Here is a 25,142-nt window from a genome sequence, read left to right as displayed (position 1 = left end):
AGAGATACAACTATTTCTATGTGTTTCAACATTCATCACTTGTCTATTTATATGACTTTCTTATATGTTTCTTTTTTTATTGTAGTAAAAGATTCGTAACATAAAATTTACCATTTTAACCCTTTTTTTTTTTTGAGACGAAGTCTTGCTCTGTTGCCCAGGCTGGAGTGCAGTGGTGCGATCTCAAGTCACTGCAACCTCCGCCTCCCGGGTTCTAGTGATTCTCCTGCCTCAGCCTCCTGAGTAGCTGGGATTATAGGCGTGCATCACCATACTCGGCTAATTTTTGTATTTTTAGAAGAGACGGGGTTTCACCATGTTGGTCAGGCTGGTCTCAAACTCCTGACCTCAAGTGATCCTCCCACCTTGGCCTCCCAAAGTGCTGGGATTACAGGCATGTGCCACCACCCCCAGCCATTTTAACCATTTTTAAGTATACAATTCTGTGGCATTAAGTACATTCACATTATTGTGTGGTCATCACCACTATCCATGTCTAGAACATTTTCATCTTCCCCAACTAAAACTTTGTCCCCATTAAACACTAACTCCCCATTCCCTCTTCCCCCAGCCCCTGGCAACTTCCCCTCTACTTTCTGTCTCTGAATTTGACTACTCTAGGTACCTCATATAAATGAAATCACACAATATTTGTCCTTTTGTGACTAGCTTATTTTACTCAACATAATGTCTTCATGATCAACCATGTTGTAGCATGCATCAGAATCTCCTTCCTTTTGAAGGCTGAATGCTATTTCATTGTATGGGATTCCACTGTATGGCGGGAGCACATTTGTTCATCCACTCATCTGCTGACGGACACCTGGGTTGCTTCCAACTTTTGGCTACTGTGAATAATGCTGCTATGTACATGAGTGTACAAGGATCTGTTCGAGTTCTTGCTTTCATTTCTTTCAGGTATATTCCCAGAAGTGGAACTGCTGGGTCACACGGTGATTCATGTTTCACTGTCTGAGGAATCACCTTATATTATGGCTTATTTTTTTTAACTCTATTTGGTATTATCTTTTGACCACCCAAGAAGGGTTTATGAAGAGTTTATGTTTGATGCACTTGCATATTTTACATATTTTTTCTTTTTTTTTTTTTTAGGTGGAGTTTCGTGCTTGTTGCCCAGGCTGGAGTGCAGTGGCATGATCTCGGCTCACTGCAACCTCTGCCTCCCAGGTTCAAGCGGTTCTCCTGTCTCTGCCACACAAGTAGCTGGAATTACAGACATGCACCACCACGCCCAGCTAATTTTTTGTACTTTTTTTTGTAGAGACGGGGTTTTACCATGTCGGCCAGGCTGGTCTCGAGCTCCTGACCTCAGGCGATCCACCCACCTTGGCCTCCCAAAGTGCTGGGATTATAGGCATGAATCACTGTGCCCGGCTGCACTTGCATATTTTCTGTTGCTGTCGCAAATAAAGATGATCTATTGTGAAATTCCCAAGTGACAACTCTCTCCCCTGAGAACTTGGCACACATCGCTTACTATCTTCAGGCATTCAGCGTAGAGATGAAAAGATTGAGCCCTTTCTGACATGTTCCTTTTTAATAGCTTTTCGTTGTTTTCCTGTTCATGGATGCTTCTGGAAGTTTTAAAAGTTTATAGAAAAAACAAAAGGAAAAAAATTGCCATGTGTGGGTGTGTCTGCTTGAAATAGGGCAGGTCTCTTTAATTAGAGAAATGGTTTTCCTCACCTGAGGAAAATTCCATTTTACTTTCTGTTGCTATGAAATATATTTAATATTGCTTATTTGCATTTTTCTAGTTTCTCTTTTAGGAGCACCAATTAATTTTATCTTCAGTCTCCATTCTCTTTTCCTCTTACAGAGTCTTTTTCGTACCCTTCTTTTCCATCTATATCAGGGATTGGCAAACACCAGTCCACGGCCTGGCCTGTTTCTCTATGCCTGTGAGCTCAGAATAGCTTTTATGGTTTTAGAGGGTTGTAAAAACAAACAAGAATATGTGACAAAGAATGCATGGCCTGTAAAGCCTAAAATACTTGTCGTCTGGCCCTTTACGGAAAAAGTTTGCCGACCTCTGTTCTTCACCCCGGCAAGCTTCTCAGGTTCATTCTCTCTATCGGTAATTGTACTTTTTCTTACGTGTAATTTCTGATGTTGGTCCTTTACCACTGCCTCCAGTAAACATTTCAATTTCAATTACATTTGTACGTTCTTGGCAATCTTCCTTATGCCATCTTCTTTTCAACCATGCAGTTGTCTTTTCATCTCAACTTCTCTGCTTTCTACGGCTTTTGCCTGTCTTCACTATTTTCTCGTAAGGTTCCAGGATGTTCTGCTGTTCGTTTATCTGCTGTTTGTGTATTCCCTCTTTACGCACATTGGCACATGGCAGAACTTGGCCAGACTCAGTGTTTATTGACTGTCGTCGGTTCTCTCTCTACCTAGATGATGGTTAAGGACCTGCTTCTGATGTGTCACTTCTGGGCATGTTTAGGCACAAAGCTTCTAGCAATCCAATCCCCAGCTTTGGATTGACTTTCCCCCAGTGCAGGAGTCAGCAAACTACTGTTCGTGGCCTGTGTGCCCTGCCAGGTAAGAGTGGTTTTTACATCTTTTTTTTTTTTTAGATGGAGTTTCGCTCTGTCGCCCAGGCTGGAGTGCAGTGGCGAGTGGCACGATCCTGGCTCACTGCCGGCTCTGCCTCCTGGCTTCATGCCATTCTCCTGCCTCAGCCTCCCGAGTAGCTGGGACTACAGGCGCCCGCCACCATGCCTGGCTAATTTTTTGTATTTTTAGTAGAGACGGGGTTTCACCGTGTTAGCCAGGATGGTCTCGATCTCCTGACCTCGTGATCTACCCACCTCAGCCTCCCAAAGGGCTGGGATTACAGGCGTGAGCCACCGTGCCCAGCGGTTTTTACATTTTTTTAAAGGATTGTTAAACAAACAAAAAAACACAAATAAAAACTTAAGAATAATATGTGACAGAGATCCACAAAGGCTGAAATAGTTCCTATATGATCTTTTACAGAAAAAGTGGCCAACTGCTGCCTTGGAATATCTCTACACCGGTAGCATCTTCTCCTCCCTCCCGCATGGTTCTCTCAACTGATGGCGTGCATCCCACATCTGCATTCCCTGTAGGCATTGCCACCAGCACCCTTCCCATCTGAGCTCCTACCTACAGGACTTTACTTACTGGGCCTATAACTCAGAAGGAACCAACCTACCCCTGATTCTTGGCAATTTGTTTTTGCATAATGCTGTTTCTGTTCAGAGACAGAAAAATGCACGGAGGGGTTGTGGATGTCGTAGTGGAGGTGGTGGTGCTATCGGAGAACAGAAGGCAAGCTGCCAGGAGAAAGGGATTGGTATCTACAACTAAGAGGGATGACTCCCATTGTCAGGTTAATATGAACCCTAGATATCTGTGTTAAGGGCGAGCAATGGGGGATATAACAGGTCTTTTTACTCTTTTCTTCCTTTTTTTTTTTTTGGTCAAAAGAATTCCATTGCAAAAAAAAAAGTTGTAAAATCACTAAGTGAAGGTTTAAAGATAGCAGCCTAACATGATGATCTATTTATACATTAAACCAAAAAACAATAATTAATGTTACCTGTAATCATGTACTATTTTTCTCGCACTCTCGAGTTGTTCGTTGGTTAACAGAATGTTCCTGGGGTCAGTTACAGTGAAGAAATGATTGGCTCGTCCAATGAAAGTGCTTTGATCCCATCGAGGTTCCTTGATGTTAATGTTTGGTGGTAGTTCTCCAGACATGGTCCCGGACTGCAAAGAGTCAAAAAGGCAAGTTCGTGTAAGGCTTACAATGTCACTACGTATTTAGAAACTTTACAGTCACCTTAAATTTTTGAGTAAATATGTACATACTCTTCCTATTTATAAAGATAATTTTGCTATAAATGGCAAAAAGGCCATCTAAATTCAAAGCTAAGTTTGTCTATAAATCTCAATTGATCTTAACTAAATTTCAATAGTTTCCTACATATTTCTCTTTATAAGTACATAGTATTTTAATATTTACTTGTTGGATACCTAGAATTACTCTGGAGAAAATAAAGGTACGAAAAGTTTTAGGATGGGTGCGGCAGCTCACACCTATGTTCCCAGCACTTTGGGAGGTCGAGGAGGGAAGATCCCTTGAGCCCAGGCGTTTGAGACCAGCCTGGACAACACGGCAAGACCCCATCTCTACAAAAAATTTTAAAAACTTATCCGGGCATGGTGGTGCACGCCTATAGTTGCAGCTACTCAGGAGGCTGAGGTGGCAGTGGGGTGTGGGGATCGCTTGAGCCCAAGAGTTGGAGCTGTAGTGAGCTATCATCATGCCGCTGCACTCCAGCCTGGGTGACAAAGCAAGACCATGCCTCTAAAAAAAAAAAAAAGTTTAAAAATAAATAAAAACAGTAACAAGGTCCGAAGTTTGAACCCATTTTTCTGAGTGAAACAACCAACGTCAAACGCCTACTAAAGCTGTTATTCCTACTAGGAGAAATGACTAATGATTAAAAAAAGGTTTAAATGCTAAAAATTACACAACTAAAAAAGACGCAGATTCATTCAGCCTTGTTTAGCACATAAACCACCAATCAAAAATTAAAAATTAAGTTCTTCCAGCTACCAGGAACATAGCAGGAAAAACACAGTTGCACAGTCCCATGAATAGGAGTAACTCTGCAGCATGTAATTATCCTCATACAATTTTTATTTTCTGGCTAAAGAGCCATTACTTTTTTTCCAAAAGTAATTAATTTCTTTCTCTGAGTAATACATGTTTATTTTAGAACTGCCCTGTATTGTTGTAATAGATGCTCACTGTGGTATTCCGAAAAATACAAGCTTATTACAGAAAATAGAGAATAAAGAAACAAAATCTCCCATAATCCAGGCACTCTGAAATCATCGTTACTGTTTTGGTACATTTCCTTATAGACATTTTCTATACATGTTATTATACAATTTAAAAAATTAGTTGATATCATACTATATATTTTAAGATCTTGTTTTTTTTGCACTTATTTCATGAGCATCCTTGTGGCCGCTGTTCATTTTGGATATATAACTACACCTTTAATGTTTAAGTGGTTTTTGGTTTTTCACCATGACATATAATGCTTATCCCTGTCTATGCATCTTTGTCCTTACAGCTAGTGATTTCCTCAGACTAGCTCTCTTTGCATGATATTAGCAGGCCAAAGGATTTTAAGCACTATAAAGGCTTCAAACCATGGCTTACTTATACCTGTTTCCCTTCCCTACATTTCTAATACCAGTTTTAATTTTAATTCTCCTTTCAGGTCACTTTTCCTTAAGTTACTTTCTTAGTGCTTTACAGGTTCGGAGGTACATTAAGATGTCGGATGTGAATGCTGGGCATTCTTGTATACTTTCTCAAAATCTCCAATGAACACATATCATGGACCACAGGATCAAAACTGAGCATGTTAGGTCTGCAGATGTGAGGAATCTAGTGAGAAGGTAAAAATCAGGCCTGCTATTCCTAGAGCAGGCTGGGGTAACAAACACAGAGAAGCCCAGCTACAAAGCTAACGGGAAGCCTATTTCCCCAAGGTCAGAATGCAGCTATACGGTGTCCTAACAGTTCTCTTTTTTTGTGACCACTGTTTCTTATCTCACTGAGAAATCTTGTTCTCTGTCATCACAGAGGGTCAGAAACTTTGCTACCTGAAATCATAACGTGAAGAGTGAAACATCCCACTCTTGACATAGAAAGCTGGCCTGGATTTCCAGCCCAGGTGCAGAGTTTCAGATTAGGAAACTTTTGGACACAACATTGCAAGTCCATCTTAACTTTGTAGTTTCCAAGGAAACAGGGATGTGGTAGTGATAGTGAGAATTACAGTTAAAAGGGAAGAGAGATTACTTTGTATTCAATTTTCTGAGAAAAATCTCTATCAGATCTCCACCGGGGAACATCACAGTCCACCTGGGCCCGAGGGCAGGCACAGGAGGGTAGAGAAGGGTGCGGGGAAGGAAATGGCTCATGGTCTCATGTACAGCCATAGCTTGGTGCCCATCAGCATGAGGTCCACACCCAGAGTGCAGGCTGAATCCCATGCCCAGCCTTGTGCTGGACCTCCTGGATCAGAGTCTCTAGAAGGAGGATAATATTTGTCTTTTTAAAAAGCTCTCCAGATGATTTTGATGTGTTCCACTGGATCAGAACCATCGATCTGCACTAGCAGCTTCACAGGAATAAACAGTTCCCCAAAGAGGGGAGTTGAATGTGTTTTGCAGTGTCTCCCTTCTTGCTGCCACCATCATGGGGATACAAGAAATGTATGTCATTGTATGCAGACATGACTAAATTTTGAATTAGAATATATCAAGTATATTACAGAAAGCAGAGTCCAGTTCCTATCCTGAAAAGCAGCACTCTTCAGACTCGTCTACAGAGGCTTGGGCTCTGCTGAGGCATATTAGCTACCTGCAGGGCGTGCAGGGGAATTCAAGCAGGTGGGTTCACACACTGGCTCCTGTCCATGAGCCACATTTTGAAGTTACAATTACGTGTATTACTCAGCATTTGTTTCTATCCTTAGAAGTCACACGTAATCATACGTAATCATACAACAGAATAAGACAGATAATCTGGCCTAATTTCCTCCCATTTCTGAATGAGCCAATAAGATATAATTCCTACCTTCAAGTAGACCATAGTCTAAATGCATAACAGACTAAATACTTAGGAGAAAAAAAATCTGTTAGCTTTGTTTTTTTCAGAAGGTCTAAAAAAAGGCTGCTATCTTTAATATCTATTTATTGAGCACCTACTTACTACACGACAGACTCTTGGGCCGCATCGGTGAACAAAGAAGACAAAAATTCCTGCCCTATTGGTGCTGACACTGGGATGGCAGAGTGAAAGGAAAACAGGCAACAAACAAAAAACACAAAAGATAAGTAAACTATTCATTATATTAGAAGGCAGTAAATGGTTGGGGAAAACAAACAAACAACAAACAAACAAAAATACCCCAGAACAGGATAAGAAGGATCATGAGCAGGGCCTTGACGTCCTGGGCTCAGCTGATCCTCCCACCTCAGCCTCCCGATTAGCTAGGACTACAGGCATCTGCCACCATGTCCAGTGTAGTCAAGGCACGTCTCATTGAGAAAGTAATACTGCAGCAAGATCAGAGGAAAGTGAAGAGTTGAATCATGGGGATATCTGGGGGAAGAGCATTCCAGGCAGAGGGAAAAGGCATTGCCAAGACCTGAAGTCAGAAATGCATCTGGTGTCGGCCGGGCGTGGTGGCTCACACCTGTAATCCCAGCACTTTGGAAGGCCGAGGCGGGCGGATCACCTGAGGTCAGGAGTTCGAGACCAGCCTCAACATGGAGAAACCCTGTCTCTACTAAAAATACAAAATTAGTCAGGCGTGGTGGTGCATGCATGTAATCCCAGCTACTCGGGAGGCTGAGGCAGGAGAGTGGCTTGAACCTGGGAGGCGGAGATGGCGGTGAGCCGAGATCGTGCCATTGCACTCCAGCCTGGGCAACAAGAGCGAAACTCCGTCTCAAAAAAAAAAAAAAGAAATGCATCTGGTGTCTTCAAAGAATAGCAAGAAGGCATGAGCTGGGGCGGAGTGAGGAAGTGGGAGATGGGAGATGAGGAGGTAAGAGATGTAATGGCTCAGGTTGGAGTCAGATGATGTGGGTTATGGAGCCACTGTAAGGCCTTTGCATTTCACTCTGCAACAAATGGGAGTCACTGGAAGGTTCTGATGAGAGGACCGAAATGAACGGACGCACAATTTAAAAGGATCTCTCTGGCTGCTGTGTGGAGAACAGACAGTGGGGAGATAAGAGCGGACACAGGAGGAACAGTGACAAGGTTACTGCAGAGATCCAGACAGAGCTGGGGGGCAGCGCAGGTGGCAAGAGGTACTGGAATTCTGGGTATTTCTTCAATGGTGCCAGCAGGATTTCTTGACATCTTAGATGTGGGATGTGAGAGAAAGAAAAAGCATGGTTCCTGAGGTATTTAGTTGGAAAAACTGGAGGTGGAGAGGGCCGAGGGAGAAGACAGGAAGCTCAGATTTGCACGGAGTAAGCGTGAGGCACCCAGGAGGCAGCAAGTGGAGATGTCCAGCGGGCAGCAGAGTAAGTAGGTCTAAGTTCAGGGGAGAAGTGTAATCTGGAGATTATCCGTGGGAGTTGTCAGACAGAGATTATATTTAAAGTCATGCGATGTGATGAGATCACCAGGGAAGTGAAGGTAAATAAAGAGATCCAAGGACTGTGGTGTGAAGAGGTCAGAAAGGACTGAAGGCACAGCAAAGTGGGCTGGGGAGTGACTGGTGGGTGCAAAACCAGGAGAGAGTGGCATCCTGAAAGATGAGAGGTAAATCTATTGGTAGCCCGACTGGCCAAAAGGAAGACACCTTGGTAGCCGGTCACTTCCATTTCTGGATAGTGAAGCGGGAGGAGGTGGATTTAACAGCAATGATGGTGGTAGCAAGAGGAACAACACGTTAAACCTCCCCTCCTTGGGAAACCGTTTATTCCTGCAAAGCTGCTAGTGCAGACTGATGGTTCTGCACCAATGGAACACATCAAAATCACCTGGAGAGCTTCTTATAAAGACAAATACTATCCTCCTTCTAGAGGTTCTGATCCAGGAGGTCCAGCATAAGGCTGGGCGTGGGATTCAGCATGGCTCTGGGTGTGGACTTCATGCTGGACGGACACCAGGCTGTGGCTGTACATGAGGCCGTGAGCCATTTCCTTCCCTGCACCCTTCTTTACCCTCCTGTGCCTGCCCTCGGGCCTAGGTGATCTGTGATGTTCCCCGGTGAAGATCTGATATGGGTTTTTCTCAGAAAATTGAATACCAAGGAATCTCTCTTCCCTTTTAACTATAATTCTCACTATCACTATTTTTCCTTCATGCTTAACATAAATAATGAAAACAAAAATTAATATGTAGCTTTTATAGAATTCTAGTTCCTAATAACAAACTATCCCTAATTTGTTAAATATAAGGCAACCTTTAGGGCAAGCTGCCGCCATCACGGTCTCATTTTAGAATTGGTTACTTTATTATTTATTTATTTATTTTGAGACAGGGTCTCACTCTGTCACCCAGGCTGGAGTGCAGTGGTGCAATCATAGCTCACTGCAGCCTTGACGTCCTGGGCTCAGGTGATCCTCCCACCTCAGCCTCCCGAGCAGCTAGGACTACAGGCGTCTGCCACCATGTCCAGCTAGTTTCTGTTTTTTTAAATTTTTGTACTGGTTGTAGAGACAGGGTTTCACTCTATTGCCCAGGCTGGTCTCGAACTCCCGGGCTCAAGTGATCTGCCCACCCTGGCCTCCAAAATGCTGGGATTACAGGTGTGATTCCCTGCACCCAGCCAAAAATATGGTTACTCTATAAAATATAAGTATTATCATGTATAAGAACTGGATAGTCTGAAAAATGATTTATCCAATGCGCTTATTATGCGGAAGCTGAGGTCCAGAGGGGAAATAACTTGCCCAGGTTGCATGGCAGATGCTGGCAGCAGAAACAAGTCCGGGAGAACTCAAAGCAGGAGCAGCCTCCAGGGCACTGGCCAGCTTTCCACTCACCACTCTTTTCTAGCCATTTTTCTTGAAGTATGACACCAATTAATGTCTGCAGAGAAATGATATCTTGGAGGCCCCCCCACTTTTTTCCTTTAAATAAAAACTTGACCTTTACACTATGAAGTTCTATACTACAATAACCTTAAGGTTACTCTAAGTACAAGTGATCAAGAATGCTGTGGAGGCCTCACAAAAGATGTCTTCCTTTGTAGGCGAGGAAAAAGGAGAGAGAGGGAGAGGGGAACCCTAACATCTTAAGAATTTCCATTATATACAAGGAATTGGGCTAGATGCTGGCCTAAGCTTGCCACATCAGAGAATATTCTACCTCATTTCTCACGACAATAGTGTGATTCAGACATCCTATGCACATTCCGCAGACGGAAGAATCAGATTCTGGGATGTCATTCAAAGCCACCCCATCTTTCCAGCAAGGGAAGCAGCAGGAGTTCTTGACGCCAACTACTTATCTGCACACTCCAGTTAAACCCACCGAAATCCTGGCACTGGAAGCGCCCACTGCATGTTACCCATGATGGGGAGAACAATGGCTGCCAAAGATGTCTCATTCTAATCCCCAGAAGCTGTGAGAAGGTCTAATAAAAAATGCTGCTATCTTTAGTATCTATTTATTGAGCACCTACTACTGTGAATATGTTACCTCACATGGTGCAGGGACTTTGCTGATATGATTAAGTTAAGGATCTTGAGAGATGCAGGCATGATCCTGGAATATTTGGTTGGCCCAATGTCATCACAAGGCTCCCTATAAGAGATGGAAGGAGGCAGAAGAGGCAGAGCCAGAGAAACAGATGTGGGAACAAGCAGAGGTTGGAGTGATGCTGGGCTGTGAGCTGCAGCCCCTAGCAGCTGGAAAGGGCAGGGAAAGGGGCTCTGCCCTAGAGCCTCCAGAAGGAAGGCCCACTTGTTCTAGACTTCTGACCTCCAGAACTCTAAGATAATATATCTGTGTTGCTTTAAGCTACTCAAATATGTAGTAATTTGTTATAACAGCAATAGGAAATGAATACAACACTGTTTCCTCTACTTAAAAGGGATTTCAAGTTGTACTATAGTGGCATAAGAAATACCAACTGGATTTGATAATCTGTGTTCCTCTGCACCCAGAATTAAAAATCAAACAAACAAACATACAGACTAATCAGGAATGCCACATTAGCATTCTCACAAAAACAGCTGATCTCAAATCAGATAACATTTTAATTATTAACCGTGATGCCATGTTTCAATTAGGCAAGACTTCTTTCACGCATGAACTGACTTCCACCTTCAAGCTCAGGAGCAGCCTGCACTCCAGGTAAATTGATCCATTTTTAAAAAACAGGAGCCCCACTTAAAAAACAAACAAACATCAAAACTTATTTCCTATTCACATTAAAGTCAACAGCACTGAGCGTGGTGGTGCGCACCTGTAATCCTGGCTACTTGGGAGACTGAGGTGGAAGGACTGCTTGAACCTAGGAGGTTGGAGACCACACTGGGCAACATAGTAAAACCCGTCTCTAAAAATCAATGGGGTCTAGCAAGCGCGCTGACACGGAGCGCTCCTTACGCACGGGGCCTGGGCTGAGGAGGATGCGCCGAGACGCGCCCTGTGCTGGCTCCATTTTGTGTCTAGAGTCTATTCAGGGAGCGAGATGCTGGTATCCTTAAGGCCTTGGCCGCTATGTGGGGATCCCCAGGGTGCACCCTTTTCCACCCGCAGGGGTCAGGGCTGGCCGGGCCACTTGGTTGGTCCGCAGCATTCCGGCGTGCACCTGCTGGCCCCGGGCAAGGCAGAGATGCGCTGAGGGCATGTGCCCCGCACACCTGGTACTGACGGGTCAGGAGGGCCGGGTTGTGGGGCGGGACTGCTGCGGGCACCATCGTGGGGAGGGAACGAGGTCATGGGGTGGGGGTGATTGTGCAGGAATGGCCTTTGTTTTTCCATGGTCTGGCTTATGCAGCCATCCATCTGGCAAATTATGGCCCCTGGGCTTGTCTGGAAGGTTGAAACTGGGTAAAGATCAAACATCTCGTTACAGAGGTGTCTTGAACATCAATCACAGTCTTTCATGACCTAGGATAGGGACAGTGCTAGGACAGAGGCTTCTCGACTCCGGATTTCTGCAGACTGCGCTGGAGGAAGTCATGCTGCACAGCCTTGTGCTGACACTGGGAACAGGAATAATCATGAAACCACAGATACTTCAAAAGAAAGTTTTGGAGAACAAGATGTTTGCGTTCCCACTGCAGATGCGGCAAGGATCATGAAGAATGTCCCTCAGAGGGACACACTACACGGGACGCCAAAGAATGTGTTCCAGAGTGTGTGGGTTCATCAGCTTCACGGCACCTGAAGCAAGTGAAAGATGCCAGGGAGAGTGCGGAGACAGTCAGTGGGGAGGGTGCTCTCTTTGCCCTGTTCACCTGAGGCTTTGAGAGTTATGCAGAAGCGCTGGGGTGGTGCCTTCAGGCACTCAGAGAGGCTAGGAGACAGGGGAGCAGGCCCCAGTCCACCAGAGACACAGAGGGACCTAGGGAAGCTGTGGAAGAGGCGCTTACTGAGCAGTTATTAGCTGGCTTCAGGACTGCAGAAAGGCAGCAGCAAAATGTTATGGTTTACACAGCGGCACACTGGCAGGTTTCTCATGTCCAGCAAGCTCAGTTTTCACGAGCTGAAGAAATGGTGCAATGGGGTGTGGAGGGAAGAGAAAGGGGCTAGAACAGACGCGCTAGAAGAAAATGATTGGTGACAGACGGTCTCTGTGTATTGCACTAGCTGTAATGTGGCTTCCTGGTGCTCGGACAACTGAGGTGTTAATTCTAAGAATCTTTTTCATGAATGATTTTAAAGAAATTTTTGGATTTTAACGGTATTAAGAAATTTTGGTGGGGTATGAGAAAAAAGTGGGACTTAAAAAAATTCTGTGGTTGGCTGATGCCACTTATGCTAAGAAGAAAAATGACTTTGAGGTTTTATCACATAAAGACATTCTCACAATGATGTCGGCTACCTGGAACTGTTAATAATTATGACATTATACTGCATTTGAGTGAACAGATTATTTTAGAGATGATATATGTTGAAAAATTATTTTACCCCTAAAAAGAGACGGAAATAATTTCATAGAGAAATTAAAAACTGTTTAAATTCAATCTTTTAACTAAGGTTTTGAGTAAATATAGTTTCATGGAGCCTCATCCCAATAGATTTCTCAAAGTCTTTTTATTTATTCATTCACCAACAAAATTAACTTACGCCTTCCATATCCACTGAAGGCCTCTTATGTACTCAACACTGGCTTGGTCCTGGGTTTGGAAAGACCGAACACACAGCTGTTTTTTTCTGGCTGGTTTTTGCTGATGGAGGCCCCCCGCCCTGTGGTGTAATTTCCCGAGCATCTACCCTGATAACCTATGGAATGAGAACCGGATTTAAGCAAATATAATCTAGATTTCAGTCCTGATTCTATCATTTCCTTTCTAGACATGTGACTGGGTGAATTACTTTACACCTCTGAGCCTCAATTCTGTCATCTATAAAACACAGGTAAGAGTTGGCTCATAGAGTTGGTAGGATCAGCAAACTGAAGAGTATAAGAGGCCTTTATTAATCTTTATTAAGTTACCAAACAAAAGTGGGATCATTATTAACAAGCTGGTTTTCCACGAGTGGAAGCTCCTGTCCTCACTGGCCACAGTCCCGTGCATAAATGCAGCTCCTGGGGCCAGGAATGGCTCCTGAGCTTCCTGAAGATCATCAGAAACATGTAAGAAAAAGAATTTATCTCCAAGATAAATTTTATTTCAAATTTTTAGCTGCATGCTAAGAAAATGCTTAACTGCTGGAGAAAAAAAGAATTTTCCAAAATTTTGTAGAAAACAAGTTAGCAGGGAATGTGCTTTATGAGGAATTAGTACAAAGACCTTTAATCTTGGCTAAAGAGTACCAATGATAACTGCGTTATTAAGCTGGAAAGCTGTTGGTCAAAACTACCGTATTTTGAAAGAGTTATGAAAGGGTCTGATTGCCCAGTTTGTTTCACTAGGGCCAGGCAGGTGTGAGACAGCCGGTCAGTCACTGCTGTCCACTGTCCAGGGGACATGACGGAACACCCAGACACTAGGCTTTCCATGCATTGTTAGATTGCTAACTCCTTATGACAGCCCTCCAAGATCTTTTCCCCTGTTTTATAGAGCCGCTCGGAGAAATTTAGTACCATGCCCAAGATGACACAGCCTTCACAGTTCTGTCTGACTTTGAAACTCAATTCTGACCCTTGGAGGCCAGAGAAGATGTGTCTGCCAAGGACAATCACACTAACTCAAGGAGCCTAAAAACCAAATTCCCTGATTTCTGTTGGGCTGGTCATCTGCATATAGTGGCCTTTTTTATGGGCATGGCCACACAGGAGATCGAATTATAGATCAGAGAGTTGAATTCTGTGCAAAGCATTAGATTCATTCTATTTCCACTCAGCAATGGATTTGTGTTGCATATGCTTCCCTGTTCCAGGATAGTTCTGCATGGAGACGTTGGGCCTGCCTAGCATCAGGAAGACATGGAGAATCAAGGCCTCCTGCCTTTCCCACTGCCATGTTCTCCCCTCCCATGCAGATCCCACTATTCTACTAACTTTAAAACACCCATGTGCCAGGCGCGGTGGCTCACACCTGTAATCCCAGCACTTTGGGAGGCTGAGGTGGGCGGATCATGAGGTCAGGAGATCGAGACCATCCTGGCTAACGTGGTGAAACCCCGTCTCTACTAAAAATACAACAGGCGCATGGTGGCACGCACCTGCAATCCCAGCTACTTGGGAGGTTGAGGCAGGAGAATCACTTGAACCCGGGAGGCAGAGGTTGCAGTGAGCTGAGATCGTGCCACTGCACTCCAGCCTGGGCAACAGAGCGAGACTCCATCTCAAAAACCAAACAAACAACAACAAAAAACAAAAACACGGATGTAACATTACAACCATTGCTCATATTCCAGTCCTCAAGATCAACTATGGGCATGGATTTCTTAAGCAGTATCTTAGGATGGGTGATGTTATTACAGTTAAAAAAAAATCTTCTGATTTCTATTTGAGATGGTGATATCAGCCTGCAAAAAATGAACAACACTAAACTAGAATTTTAGACATATTTGGATGAAGTTTTACCATCCATGTATAAGAATCAACTCGGAGATGCCATATACCAAAGTCTATAAAACTATTTTACAAATTAACAGCTGCTAAAGAAAAACTTAGTAACTTTGAACTTTGTGTAATTAAGTGCAGGTTTGACACATGGTCTAATTTAATGACTTTTCACTTTCTGGACAACAGCCCTTTGTTCCCCCCTTTTTAAAAAATGGATTCACTACTTTTGATTTCTTACCTTTAACCACAAAGGAAAAATTGGTCACACTCATGGTTCTACTCTAACTGAATGCAGCTCACCACTGCTACACAACAGGATACAGATGCCTGACTTCAACGTAAGTCTTCCAGAACAACAACGTTTGATGACGGGTCTGCTCTTACCACCTTTGCTGTCCAGGCTGTCCTCTCAGCTTTCTCTGCAGGAAGTGAGGAGCAGGAAGGGATATTCCCTGCCAGTTGGTGCCTTTCTGTATCCATCCCCATGGGGTTTCATAGAACTTTTACAGAAAATTAAGAACAGCTAAACACTTCACTGATCCTGAATTATGACACCCTTTGCCATATAGGGTCCTCTCTGACAACTGTAACCACAGATATCATCCCTTTTCTGAACATCCATGTGGCCTGAAAGCCTCAATCTAACCTCTGAATACGTACTAAGCTGAGATGGGAGCTGATAGCTCCTCCCTGCCAAACACTGTATTTTTTTTTTTTTAAGACGGAGTCTTGCTCTGTCGCCCAGGCTGGAGTGCAGTGGCGCGATCTCGGCTCACTGCAAGCTCCGCCTCCCGGGTTCAGGCCATTCTCCTGCCTCAGCCTCCCGAGTAGCTGGGACTACAGGCGCCCGCAACCACGCCCAGCTAATTTTTTGTATTTTTAGTAGAGACGGGGTTTCACCGGCTTAGCCAGGATGGTCTTGATCTCCTGACCTCGTGATCCGCCCGCCTCGGCCACCCAAAGTGCTGGGATTACAGGCGTGAGCCACCGCGCCTGGCCCAAACACTGTATTTTTGAAAGTGAGACACCTGCTCAGTGCTGAGGAGAGAAAGGATCTGCTTGAGGTCCCAGAACTTCTTGGTAGCCACCCCATTCATCCTCCCAAACAGTTCCCTCTCATCTTTTATATCAAGTCTGAAGCTGTAGGAGCTGCAAAGCCTCCTCATTTACCTGCATCCTCCCTGGGCACCTATAACAATGCCTAGAACACTGAAGCAGATCAGTAAAAGGGGGATGGACAAAGAAGGGAGAATCCAAAGGCACCCAAGTCAAAATCTAGAAGTCAACGCAGAAGAGGGACTAGGACTGTGAGAAATGTGCAGGGAAAAAGCTATGGGGGCGCAGAAAAGAGTTGCCTACGGAGCAGCTAAGTGCCCAGGCTCTGGAGTGAAGCAGAGCTAGGCTTTTTCGTTCAGGCAGTCAACAAATACTCATTGAGGGCCTTCTTGGTGCAGGCAATTGTTATGCGCAGGGGATAGATAGGCTGAGCAACACAAAATAGGCCCTGTTCACATGAGGAGAAGAAAACATGTAAACACCTTTAATTTCAACTAGTGACAAAAGACACTAAAGAGAAAAAACCCAGAGTTTGTGTTACAAAGGGTGTGTGGGGGGATGGGGGGTGCAATTTTAGACAGCATAGCCAAGGAAAAGCGTCTTTGAGAACGCAGTATTTACGACTGAGACTCAGATGGCCTTGGACTATGGATGGCCAGCTGTGTGACCTTGGGCACTCAACCTCTCAGAGCCCCAGTTTTCTCATGTGGATTATAGAGCCAACACCCAGTACCTCGCAGGGCCGGAAGAGTGTAAAAGTATATGGACCTAAGTCACCTGGCACGCACTTAGTAGACTGTTTATTGTCATTCTGGGCAGGTTAGAGACCTGTGACAGACGTGAAAGTTCAGGAGAAAAGCGTGAAAATGCAAGGTCCCTGTAGGACCAACTACTACTCCAAGAATCTACTTCCTTGCACATCACCTCCCTACTGGATTGCGAGTTCTAGGGCAGGAACCAGGTGGTCTCCCCTCCGACCCCCAGCACCAGGAGGCAAAGCCGAGAGCGCGGAGCGCTGGGCCAGGCACTGGGCCACCTGGCTGCCGCTGCCCCCGAGGCAGCCATCTTGGTGTCCCCGGAGCGAGTTCGCCACGCAGGCGCCGAAGACAGCGCGGCCAGGCGCGCGGGGACGCGGCGGAGGGCCCTTCCCACCGGGGACGAGGCCCACGGGATGCTGGGCCTCGGGATGCTGGAAGCGTGGTGTTGTCCGGCCGCAGGATGCCAGGGATCCCCAGGTGCAGGGACCCCCCCCCCGGCCCGAGGCATCCCCGGCCCGCAAAGGGGCTTCCGACCTCCGAGCCCGGGGTCTCCCCGCAGCCGGCCCGCGGGTGCACGGCCCGAGCCTGCCCAAGCCTGCGCGCCTCCGCCGGGCCCCCTGCGCGTTTCCCCACCCACCTGGCTGGGCCTGCCGCCCGCGACTCACCGCTTCCCCCGGGCTGCCGCCCGCGCTGCTCGCAGGTCCCGCTCAGTGCAGCCTCCGCCGCCACCGGAAACGCTTCTCCCGCCACGGCGTCCTCGCGCGTCCCCGGAGCGCGTCCTCGCGCGCGCCTGTGAGCGCGCGTCCGGGCCCGGGAGCTACGAGGCCCAGGGACCCGCCCTCCGGGTCCAGGCCCGGGTCCAGGCCCCGCCCCGCGCCCGCGACTCCGCTTCTGGCTTAGCGACCGCGCCCCGGGTCCAAGAGGAACTCCAAGCCCATCCTCACGGTGGTGTGGGGCTCTGCGCGGGCTGGGGCCACTATGTTCCATTTGGGTTTCCCTTAAGGGACTGCTTCTTTATCATTTCTTTATTCCCAGGGCCTTGGCGTAGCCAGCATCCGTTCACGCAGTCATTTACCCAATTAAAGTGTGGAGCTTGGCAAGACTGGCGCTACAAGGCGATTTTAGGACTTTAGTGCCACGACCTGATTTATGTCTTAAACAACAACAACAACAACGGCGCACTCTGTCTTCTTTATGGAGAACAGACTGCGTGGGAGGGGATGTGGAGGCAGAGAGGCTGTTTAGCCAGATGCTGTGGTTATCCAGGAGAGGAATCATGGTATTTTGGACCAGGTGGGTAACCTGGGCATATTTAAAGGGCAAATGAAATCTAATAAATGGTGAATTACATCATAAATTGCATAGGAAGATTCCATTTTTAAAGATGTAAATTCTCTCCCAAATGACCTATGACAATAAAAAAAAATTCGACAACACTAGTGTGCTTGGTGGAGTGTGTGTTATAACTGCACAAGCGGACTGCAAAATGTACATGAAAAAAATAAAGAGCCAGAAACAGCCAAACAAGCTTTTAAGAAAAGAGCAAGGCAGAGTGACTTGTCCTGCAGATACAAAACTTGTTATAAAACAATGGTAAATAACAAAGGTGGTGTGTTTGCTCCGGGGTCAACAAAGAGCCTCGCGGAGCCAAATAGAGTTGCCATCCATGTAGAAACCTGCACATGTAGAAACCTGCTGTGAGTTGGCATCACAGGTCAGGGGACAAAGGTTAGATATTCATTAAACAGTACTGGGATAGCCAAATCCCTACTTGTATAATACATGAAACTCAACTCCAGGTGGATTAATGATCCAAACGTGAAAAACAAAACTTCTAAAACTTAAGCAATATGTCACAGATATTTTGAGTGCTATTCCTCATCCTCCAAATTCCTATGAATGTTTAACTAGCTTTTTCTCTGTACCATACCCTGTGCCAAGTGCTGGGCTCAAAAAGATATATAAAAGATCGCCCCTTCTTGGCTGGGCACTGTGGCTCATGCCTATAATCTTAGCACTTTGGGAGGCCGGAGTGGGTGGATCACCTGAGCTAAGAAGTTTAAGCCTGGACAACATGGTAAAACCCCATCTCTACCAGAAATACAAAAAATTACCTGGGCATGGTGGCGTATGGTCCCAGCTACTCAGGAGGCTGAGGTAGCAGGATTGCTGGAGCCTGGGATGTGGAGGTTGCAGTCGGCTGAGATTGTGCCACTGCACTCCAACCTAGGTGATAGAGTGAGACCCTGTCTCTGTCTCTCTCACACACACAAAAGAAAACTAACAATTATTAAAAAAACAGAACAAAACCAGTTTCTCCAAAGAGCTTGTGAGCAAGGAGATAGACATGTAAATACTTGTTTGAAATAAATGGTAACAATTCAATAGAAAACTTGCAACAGTAGAATGTGGAATATATTGTATAACTAAGTGCCATGAGAACACACAGAAGGGATTGACTAGTTGCCTGCAGAATGGGCATGTGGAGAGGTTTAGTAGATACAAATGTGTCAGTTGTCTGTTGCCACAGTAATGCTATAAGACAACTGCAAAACCTTGGGACTATGCAACAGTAAACATTTAGTTTTTTTCTTGAGTGTATGGGTTGGCTGGGAGGTTCTGCTGACCTGAGCTGGGCTCTGCAGAGCTTGCTCATGTGTCTATGGTCACCTTTGGGCCATCAGTGGCATTGCTGATCTTGGCAGTGCTCTCTCATATGTGTCTGGGGCCTCAGCTGGGATAACTGGGTAGGGATGGCTCCGCTCCATGTCTCATTCCTCCAGCAGGCTGGCCTGGAAATGTTCACATGGCAAAGGCAGAGAAAGGAGAGAGTTGATGCACTCAAGGCCTCTTGAGGCCAAGGCTTGAAACTGGCAAACCTTCATTTCCAAGGCATCCTATTGGTCAAAGCAGGTCAACAAGGCCAGCCCCTATTCAGGGTGAAATAGACTTTATCTTTTGCTGAGAGGAGCTGCCAAGAAACGTGGTAAGCAGGTGTAGACATATAGACTCGTGGAGAATTGTGGATTTTTTTTTTCTTCAAAAATTCTGTCACATGTAGTTTTTGTCTTTCCAGCATCTCAGTTTCTCTTGGGGAATTCCCCTGCCACATTTCATTTGATCTTGTCTGATTATCAATCATGGTACTTGATCTCCTCCTGCCTGCCACAGTCATGGGTACATGGCCCAAGCTGGGCCAAACAGAATTCTGCCCTGAATTTATATGTAGGCACTGGGGAAGAGAAGTAACCTCTCCTCCCCGCCTCCCTTCCCCACCACACACATATATTGAGACAGCTAATCTAAGAGAATGTGGATTAAGGGCTGCTAGAGCTGTGGAGGTGAAGCCAGGCTAAAAGATGTGAGAGAGACAGAAGTCAGATGACATCATGTCAGGCCCTACACTCAGCCAAGCCCGAGGCTAGATCTGCCTCCTGGTCTACCTCCTGGGCTTCCAGCTATGGGAGTCAATAACCCCCATCCCCCACCCCAACTCTTTTCTTTTCCCTTCCTTTTCCTTTTTCCTTCTTTTTAAAATCTTAAGCTCTTGTGAGTTGAATTTCCATCCCTGACTAACAGGAGAGGAGATGTTCATAGAGGTGGTGACATCTGAGCTAGTGCGACCAAATTTGAAAAAGTGGGAAAAGCAGATGGATGAAGGAAGAAAAATGAGAGGGAATTAAAAGTGGAAAGCAAGGGTTTGTATGATTTCCAGTCATTGTTTCAATTACAACCATTTCAGAAACAGCTTCCATAAAGCTGAAATGACATTTCTCTTTGATTCAGAAAACGAATGCTTGGGAATTCTTGCTAGGCTTGCATCAACAAAAGTTGCAAAACCCTTGCATTTTAATATGGACTTTGACCATTCAGGGAACAGCAAAAACAAAACAATGCTTAAATCAGCAAAGGTTGGGAGCATTTCTGAGCATAGCAAAAGTTCAGGGAGCCAAGGAAAGATCTTGCTGAATGTATCACAAAGTGAAGTTTTCATCAGGACAGGACAGGTAATCCAATGAGAACCATATTTTTTGTTGTTTGTTTAAATGAACTCTTTAATGAAAACTTTAAATTCCAGATGATATTAGCCTTTTTTTTTTTCCCAGAGCCTCATCAGGCTGCACTCTGTCACCAGGCTGGAGTGCAGTGGTGCGATCTTGGCTCACTGCAACCTCTGATTCGCTGGTTCAAGTGATTCTTCTGCCTCAGCCTCCTGAGTAGCTGGGACTACAGTTGCACGCCACCATGCCCAGCTAATTTTTGTATTTTTAGTAGAGACGGGGTTTCACCATGTTGGCCAGGATGGTCTCAGTCTCTTGACCTTGTGATCCGCCCTCCTTGGCCTCCCAAAGTGCTAGGAATACAGGTGTGAGCCACTGCACCCGGCCGCCACGTTGTTTTTGATTATAAAAGAAATACGTAATCAAATGAATTTGAAAAGTACAGAAAAGTACAAGTGTACACTCAATGCTACTCCCCAGAAATCTCCCTGCTAGATTTTTAGTGTATTCCCTTCCAATATTTTCATTCCTTTTCTGACCCATCAAACTTCTGTTCATCCCATGCTTGAGTTTCAGCTCTCTGTATGCAGAAACCCAGAAGCAAGTGGCACAGTGCTTAAGCACACAGGATCTGCAGACGGGTCCGCCTGGGTTCTGATTCCACCTCTGCCTGGATCGGGTGTTAGACCCTACACAAATTAGTTCCTTGATCTTGCTGTGCATTGGTTTATGTCTAAATGGGGTAAGACTAACACTTACCTGGGGCCATCGTGACCGTTACCTGAGATTACATATGTGCAGAGATGAGCAGGGTGCCTGGTCAATGGTGAGCCTTGTTAATTGAGAGCTGTTTTTCTTAGAGTTCCAGCTTCATGGCTCCTGCAGCACTTCATAAACTCTCTCTGCATAGTTTTACAGTCCTGTCTTCTCTCTAGCCCATGAACTCTTTCAAACAAGAAACTCTGTCCTTCAACTTTCTGTCCCTGGTGTCTAGCAGGACATCCAGTGAATGCTGTATTTGTTTGTTAAATATGTGGTGAGAATCCTGGTCCATGTGTTTTATGTTTTGCTTTCTTCACTCAAAGTTATATTTTATAAACATGTTCTCAAGTCACATCATAATCTTCATTATTCATTCTTTTATGCTTTTTATTCACTAAATGCTTATTGAACAGTGGCTGATTCTACATTAGTCATTATTCTAAGTGCTAAGGAGTCTACGGTGAATGGAACACATGTAGCCCCTTGCCCTCATGCAGTTGATTGTGTAGGAAATGAAGACAGACAATAAACACAATGAATAAGTAGAATATATAAGGCCGGGCATGGTGGATCACACCTGTAATCCCAGCACTTCGGGAGGCCAAGGCGGGCAGATCACATGAAGTTGGGAGTTTGAGACCAGCCTGACCAACACGGAGAAACCCTGTCTTTACTAAAAATACAGTATTAACCAGGTATGGTGGTGCATGCCTGTAATCCCAGCTACTTGGGAGGCTGAGGCAGGAGAATTGCTTGAACCTGGGAGGCGGAGGTTGTGGTGAGCTGAGATCGCACCATTGTACTCCAGCCTGGGCAACAAGAGCGAAACTCTGTCTCAAAAAAAAAAAAGTGTAGAATATATAGCATGTTAGAAGGTAGTAAGTCCTATAAGGAAATAAAGAAGGGGGTGTGGGGGTGACAGGGAGCCAGGTCAGGGAAGACCTAGGGGAAGGTGCCCTTTCTTGTTTGAATGGCTGTAGAACATTTCATGGAGCAGGTGTGTCAGCTTCTACCTGACCTGTCGAAGAAAATCTTTTTGCACTACCCACTCATGCACATTGGATGCAGTGTGTTTTTTTCTCAGGTGAGGGAAGACCTGGAGATTTTGGGTCCAGAAACTCAGCAGAGCCTTACAGAAGGGAGGGAGAGGAATGCCAGTAACTGAGTGTCCACTGTGAGTGGGGCAGGCAATACATACCCTAACCACTTGCACAAATATCTTCTCTCGTCTTCACTGGAACCCTGAGGGGTTAACTACTTATATCGGTCAGGCTTCTCTAGAGAAATGGACCAATAAACTGTATCTATATCTATATCTCTCTATATATACTATATCTCCATCCATCTCTCTCTCTCCATCTATTTGTCTAGCATGATTTATTTTAAGAAATTGGCTCACATAATTGTGGTGATTGGCAAGTCTGAAATCTCTAGCGCAGGTCAGCAGGCTGGAAACTCAGGCAAGAGTTGATGCTGTAGTTTTGAGGCTGAACTTCACTGGGAAAATCAGGTTTTCCTCTTAGGGCCTTCAACCAATTGAATGAGGTCCACCCACATTATTGAGGGTAATCTTTTTTGTTTAAAGTCAGTTAGTTGTAGATGTCAACCACATCTACAAAACTCCTTCACAGCAACACCTAGATCGGTGTTTGATTAATTCACTCTATAGACTAGCCAGGTTGGCACATAAAAGCAACCGTCACACTACTCTACCCCTGATTTTACATCTCCATTTCTACTCTTGCCTCTAACTGTTCAGTCCCTGATCTCTTGGAAAGGTAAATAAAATCATGCTCTCTCTGCTTTTAAATCATCAGCAGCTTCCAGTTATACTTATGATAAAATTTGAACTCTTTACTGTGGCCTATGGACCCTCATGATCTGTCCTGTTCCAGTTTTCCAGTTTTACCATATACCACTGCTCCCCATGCTCATGGTAATGCTGGCTCAACAGGGCAGCTTTACCTACCACAGGGCCTTTGCATATGCTGTTCCCTCTGCCTGGAATGCTCTCAGGTCAAATGTCATTTCCTCAGAGGTACCTTCCCTGGTCACCTGTCTGGAGTAGCCCCTCTCACTCACACTGGAGCTCATTGCTTGTTTATTTCTTTTGTCATACTGTCACTATTCAGAATTACCTCCTTTAGGCCAGGCATGGTGGCTCACGTCTGTAATCCCAGCACTTTGGGAGGCTGAGGTGGGAGGATCATTTGAGACCAGGAGTTCAAGACTGGCCTGGGCAACATAGTAAAACCCTATCTCCACAAAAAATTAAAAAATTAGCTGAGCATGGTGTGGCACACTTGTCCCAGCTAGTTGGGAGGCTGAGGTGGGAGGATCGCTTGAGCCTGGGAGGTTGAGGCTGCAGTGTGCTGAGATCATGCTACTATACTCCACCCTGGGCAATAGAGCAAGATTATTTCTCAAAACAAAACCAAAAACAAACTAAACAAAAAATTACCTTGTTTACTTATTTTTGATTTGTTTCTTCTCTATGTTTTCAGCTAGAATTTTCTACCATAAGGGCAGGAATCCTGTCTTCTTTATCCCCTGCTATATTCTCATCTCCTTGAAAGGTGCCTGCAGTTACTGTCACAGCCCAGATTATGCCACGGAACCATTGTGGTGAGGACTCTGTGGTCTCCACCCCTGAACACTGAACGAAAGTCACTCCTCTCCTGAAACTGGTTGCTGCAGCCACTACCAGAATGGAGTCTCCCCTCTCTGGGCAGGAGCATCTGATTGGCTGAGCTGAGGTCACATGCCAGGCAGCATCAGACCTTTCCTGTAGAGGCCAATGACGCCTGCCTCCCACTCAGACACAGAAGTTCCCTCCTGCCCTTTCTCAGTCAGGGTACCCGCACTCCCGACATCACATCATCCTGCTTTGTGTCACCGGCTTTCCATAATTTCTGACACTAATTTTCAGTTATTAGTGTCACCTTCCTCAGAGGTGCCTTCCCTAACCACTTGTCTGGAGTAGCCAAGAGTAATTGCGTTGTTTGTCGTTACTTTCAATGGCAAAAACCACAGTTACGTTTGCATCAAGCGAATACTTTTGCCTGTTCTGGAACTCATTCATGCTCTGAAACATTTGTTATTCATATAAATGGAATCATACAGCCACACTTGTATGTGTATATGTCTGGCTTCTTTCACGCAGCATGTTTTTGAGATTTATCCATGGTGTTGGATTTTTTTCCCATTGTGGCGTAGAATTCTGTTATATATCACATTTCTTTTTGTATCCATTTTTCAATTGTTGGACCTTTACAGTATTTCCAGTTTGGGGCTGTTATGAATAAAGCAGCCAAGAACATTCAAGCACAAACTTTTAAAAAAAATTAATTTATTTATTATACTTTAAGTTCTAGGGTACTTGTGCACAACGTGCAGGTTTGTTACATATTGTATACACGTGCCACGTTGGTTTGCTGCACCCATTAGCTCATCATTTACATTAGGTATTTCTCCTAATGTTACCCCTCTCCCATCCCCCTGGCCAGCATTTCTTGTTTTAGAGTGAAAGCCCAGTAAGCCTCACATACAAAGCATCTGAAGAACACGTCATGAATTGGCTCTTTGTTTAAAAATAAAGCGTGCTAAGCATCACTTAGAAGCCAATTATGTCTTTGAAATAGTTCCTAGAGGCTAAAGACAGTGTTTATCATTCTGAGAAAACTGAGCCACTCCATTATGGGTTTTAAGGAACTGGTTCATTAGTCAAATTAATCTTATTATATGTAATAGGGCAGAATTAAGGAAGAATGATACTTCACATTTCTCTTTGCCCTGGTTCAGCACTTGCTGTTCTATTTCCT

General features: G+C 45.1%; 1 protein-coding gene across 7 annotated transcripts in view, besides 5 other annotated features; it reads right to left on the bottom strand.

The window, feature by feature from the left end:
• Positions 1–17,303, bottom strand: part of SFXN1 (sideroflexin 1) — a 51,183-nt gene extending 33,880 nt beyond the window's left edge. For 4 of the 7 annotated variants that reach the window (NM_022754.7, NM_001322980.2, NM_001322978.2 and 1 more), the window contains exons 1-2: positions 17,224–17,303; positions 3,596–3,768 (exon numbers count right to left, since the gene is read on the bottom strand). In NM_022754.7, coding sequence (NP_073591.2) covers positions 3,596–3,759 — 164 coding nt within the window. In that variant the 5' untranslated portion in view covers positions 3,760–3,768; positions 17,224–17,303. Of the gene's footprint in view, positions 1–3,595; positions 3,769–17,195 lie in introns of all 7 variants that reach the window. The other 3 variants (NM_001322977.2, NM_001322981.2, NM_001322982.2) reach the window with 1 other exon arrangement.
• Positions 10,752–11,325: an enhancer, noted in NCBI's record as "H3K4me1 hESC enhancer chr5:174911541-174912114 (GRCh37/hg19 assembly coordinates)". NCBI's record gives its function as "activates a minimal SCP1, AML or CMV promoter by ChIP-STARR-seq in primed H9 embryonic stem cells {active_cell/tissue: H9 hESC(primed)}" and the evidence as "EXISTENCE:reporter gene assay evidence [ECO:0000049][PMID:30033119]".
• Positions 16,326–16,921: an enhancer, noted in NCBI's record as "OCT4-H3K27ac hESC enhancer chr5:174905945-174906540 (GRCh37/hg19 assembly coordinates)". NCBI's record gives its function as "activates a minimal SCP1, AML or CMV promoter by ChIP-STARR-seq in naive H9 embryonic stem cells {active_cell/tissue: H9 hESC(naive)}" and the evidence as "EXISTENCE:reporter gene assay evidence [ECO:0000049][PMID:30033119]".
• Positions 16,559–16,648: an enhancer, noted in NCBI's record as "active region_23678". NCBI's record gives its function as "activates an Ori minimal core promoter by ATAC-STARR-seq in GM12878 lymphoblastoid cells {active_cell/tissue: GM12878}" and the evidence as "EXISTENCE:reporter gene assay evidence [ECO:0000049][PMID:35858748]".
• Positions 16,659–16,818: an enhancer, noted in NCBI's record as "active region_23677". NCBI's record gives its function as "activates an Ori minimal core promoter by ATAC-STARR-seq in GM12878 lymphoblastoid cells {active_cell/tissue: GM12878}" and the evidence as "EXISTENCE:reporter gene assay evidence [ECO:0000049][PMID:35858748]".
• Positions 16,929–17,658: a silencer, noted in NCBI's record as "silent region_16644". NCBI's record gives its function as "represses an Ori minimal core promoter by ATAC-STARR-seq in GM12878 lymphoblastoid cells {active_cell/tissue: GM12878}" and the evidence as "EXISTENCE:reporter gene assay evidence [ECO:0000049][PMID:35858748]".

This window comes from Homo sapiens, chromosome 5 (genome assembly GCF_000001405.40).
Source record: "Homo sapiens chromosome 5, GRCh38.p14 Primary Assembly".
Classification (NCBI taxonomy): domain Eukaryota; kingdom Metazoa; phylum Chordata; class Mammalia; order Primates; family Hominidae; genus Homo; species Homo sapiens.
This window is presented reverse-complemented; position numbering and strand designations above follow the sequence as displayed.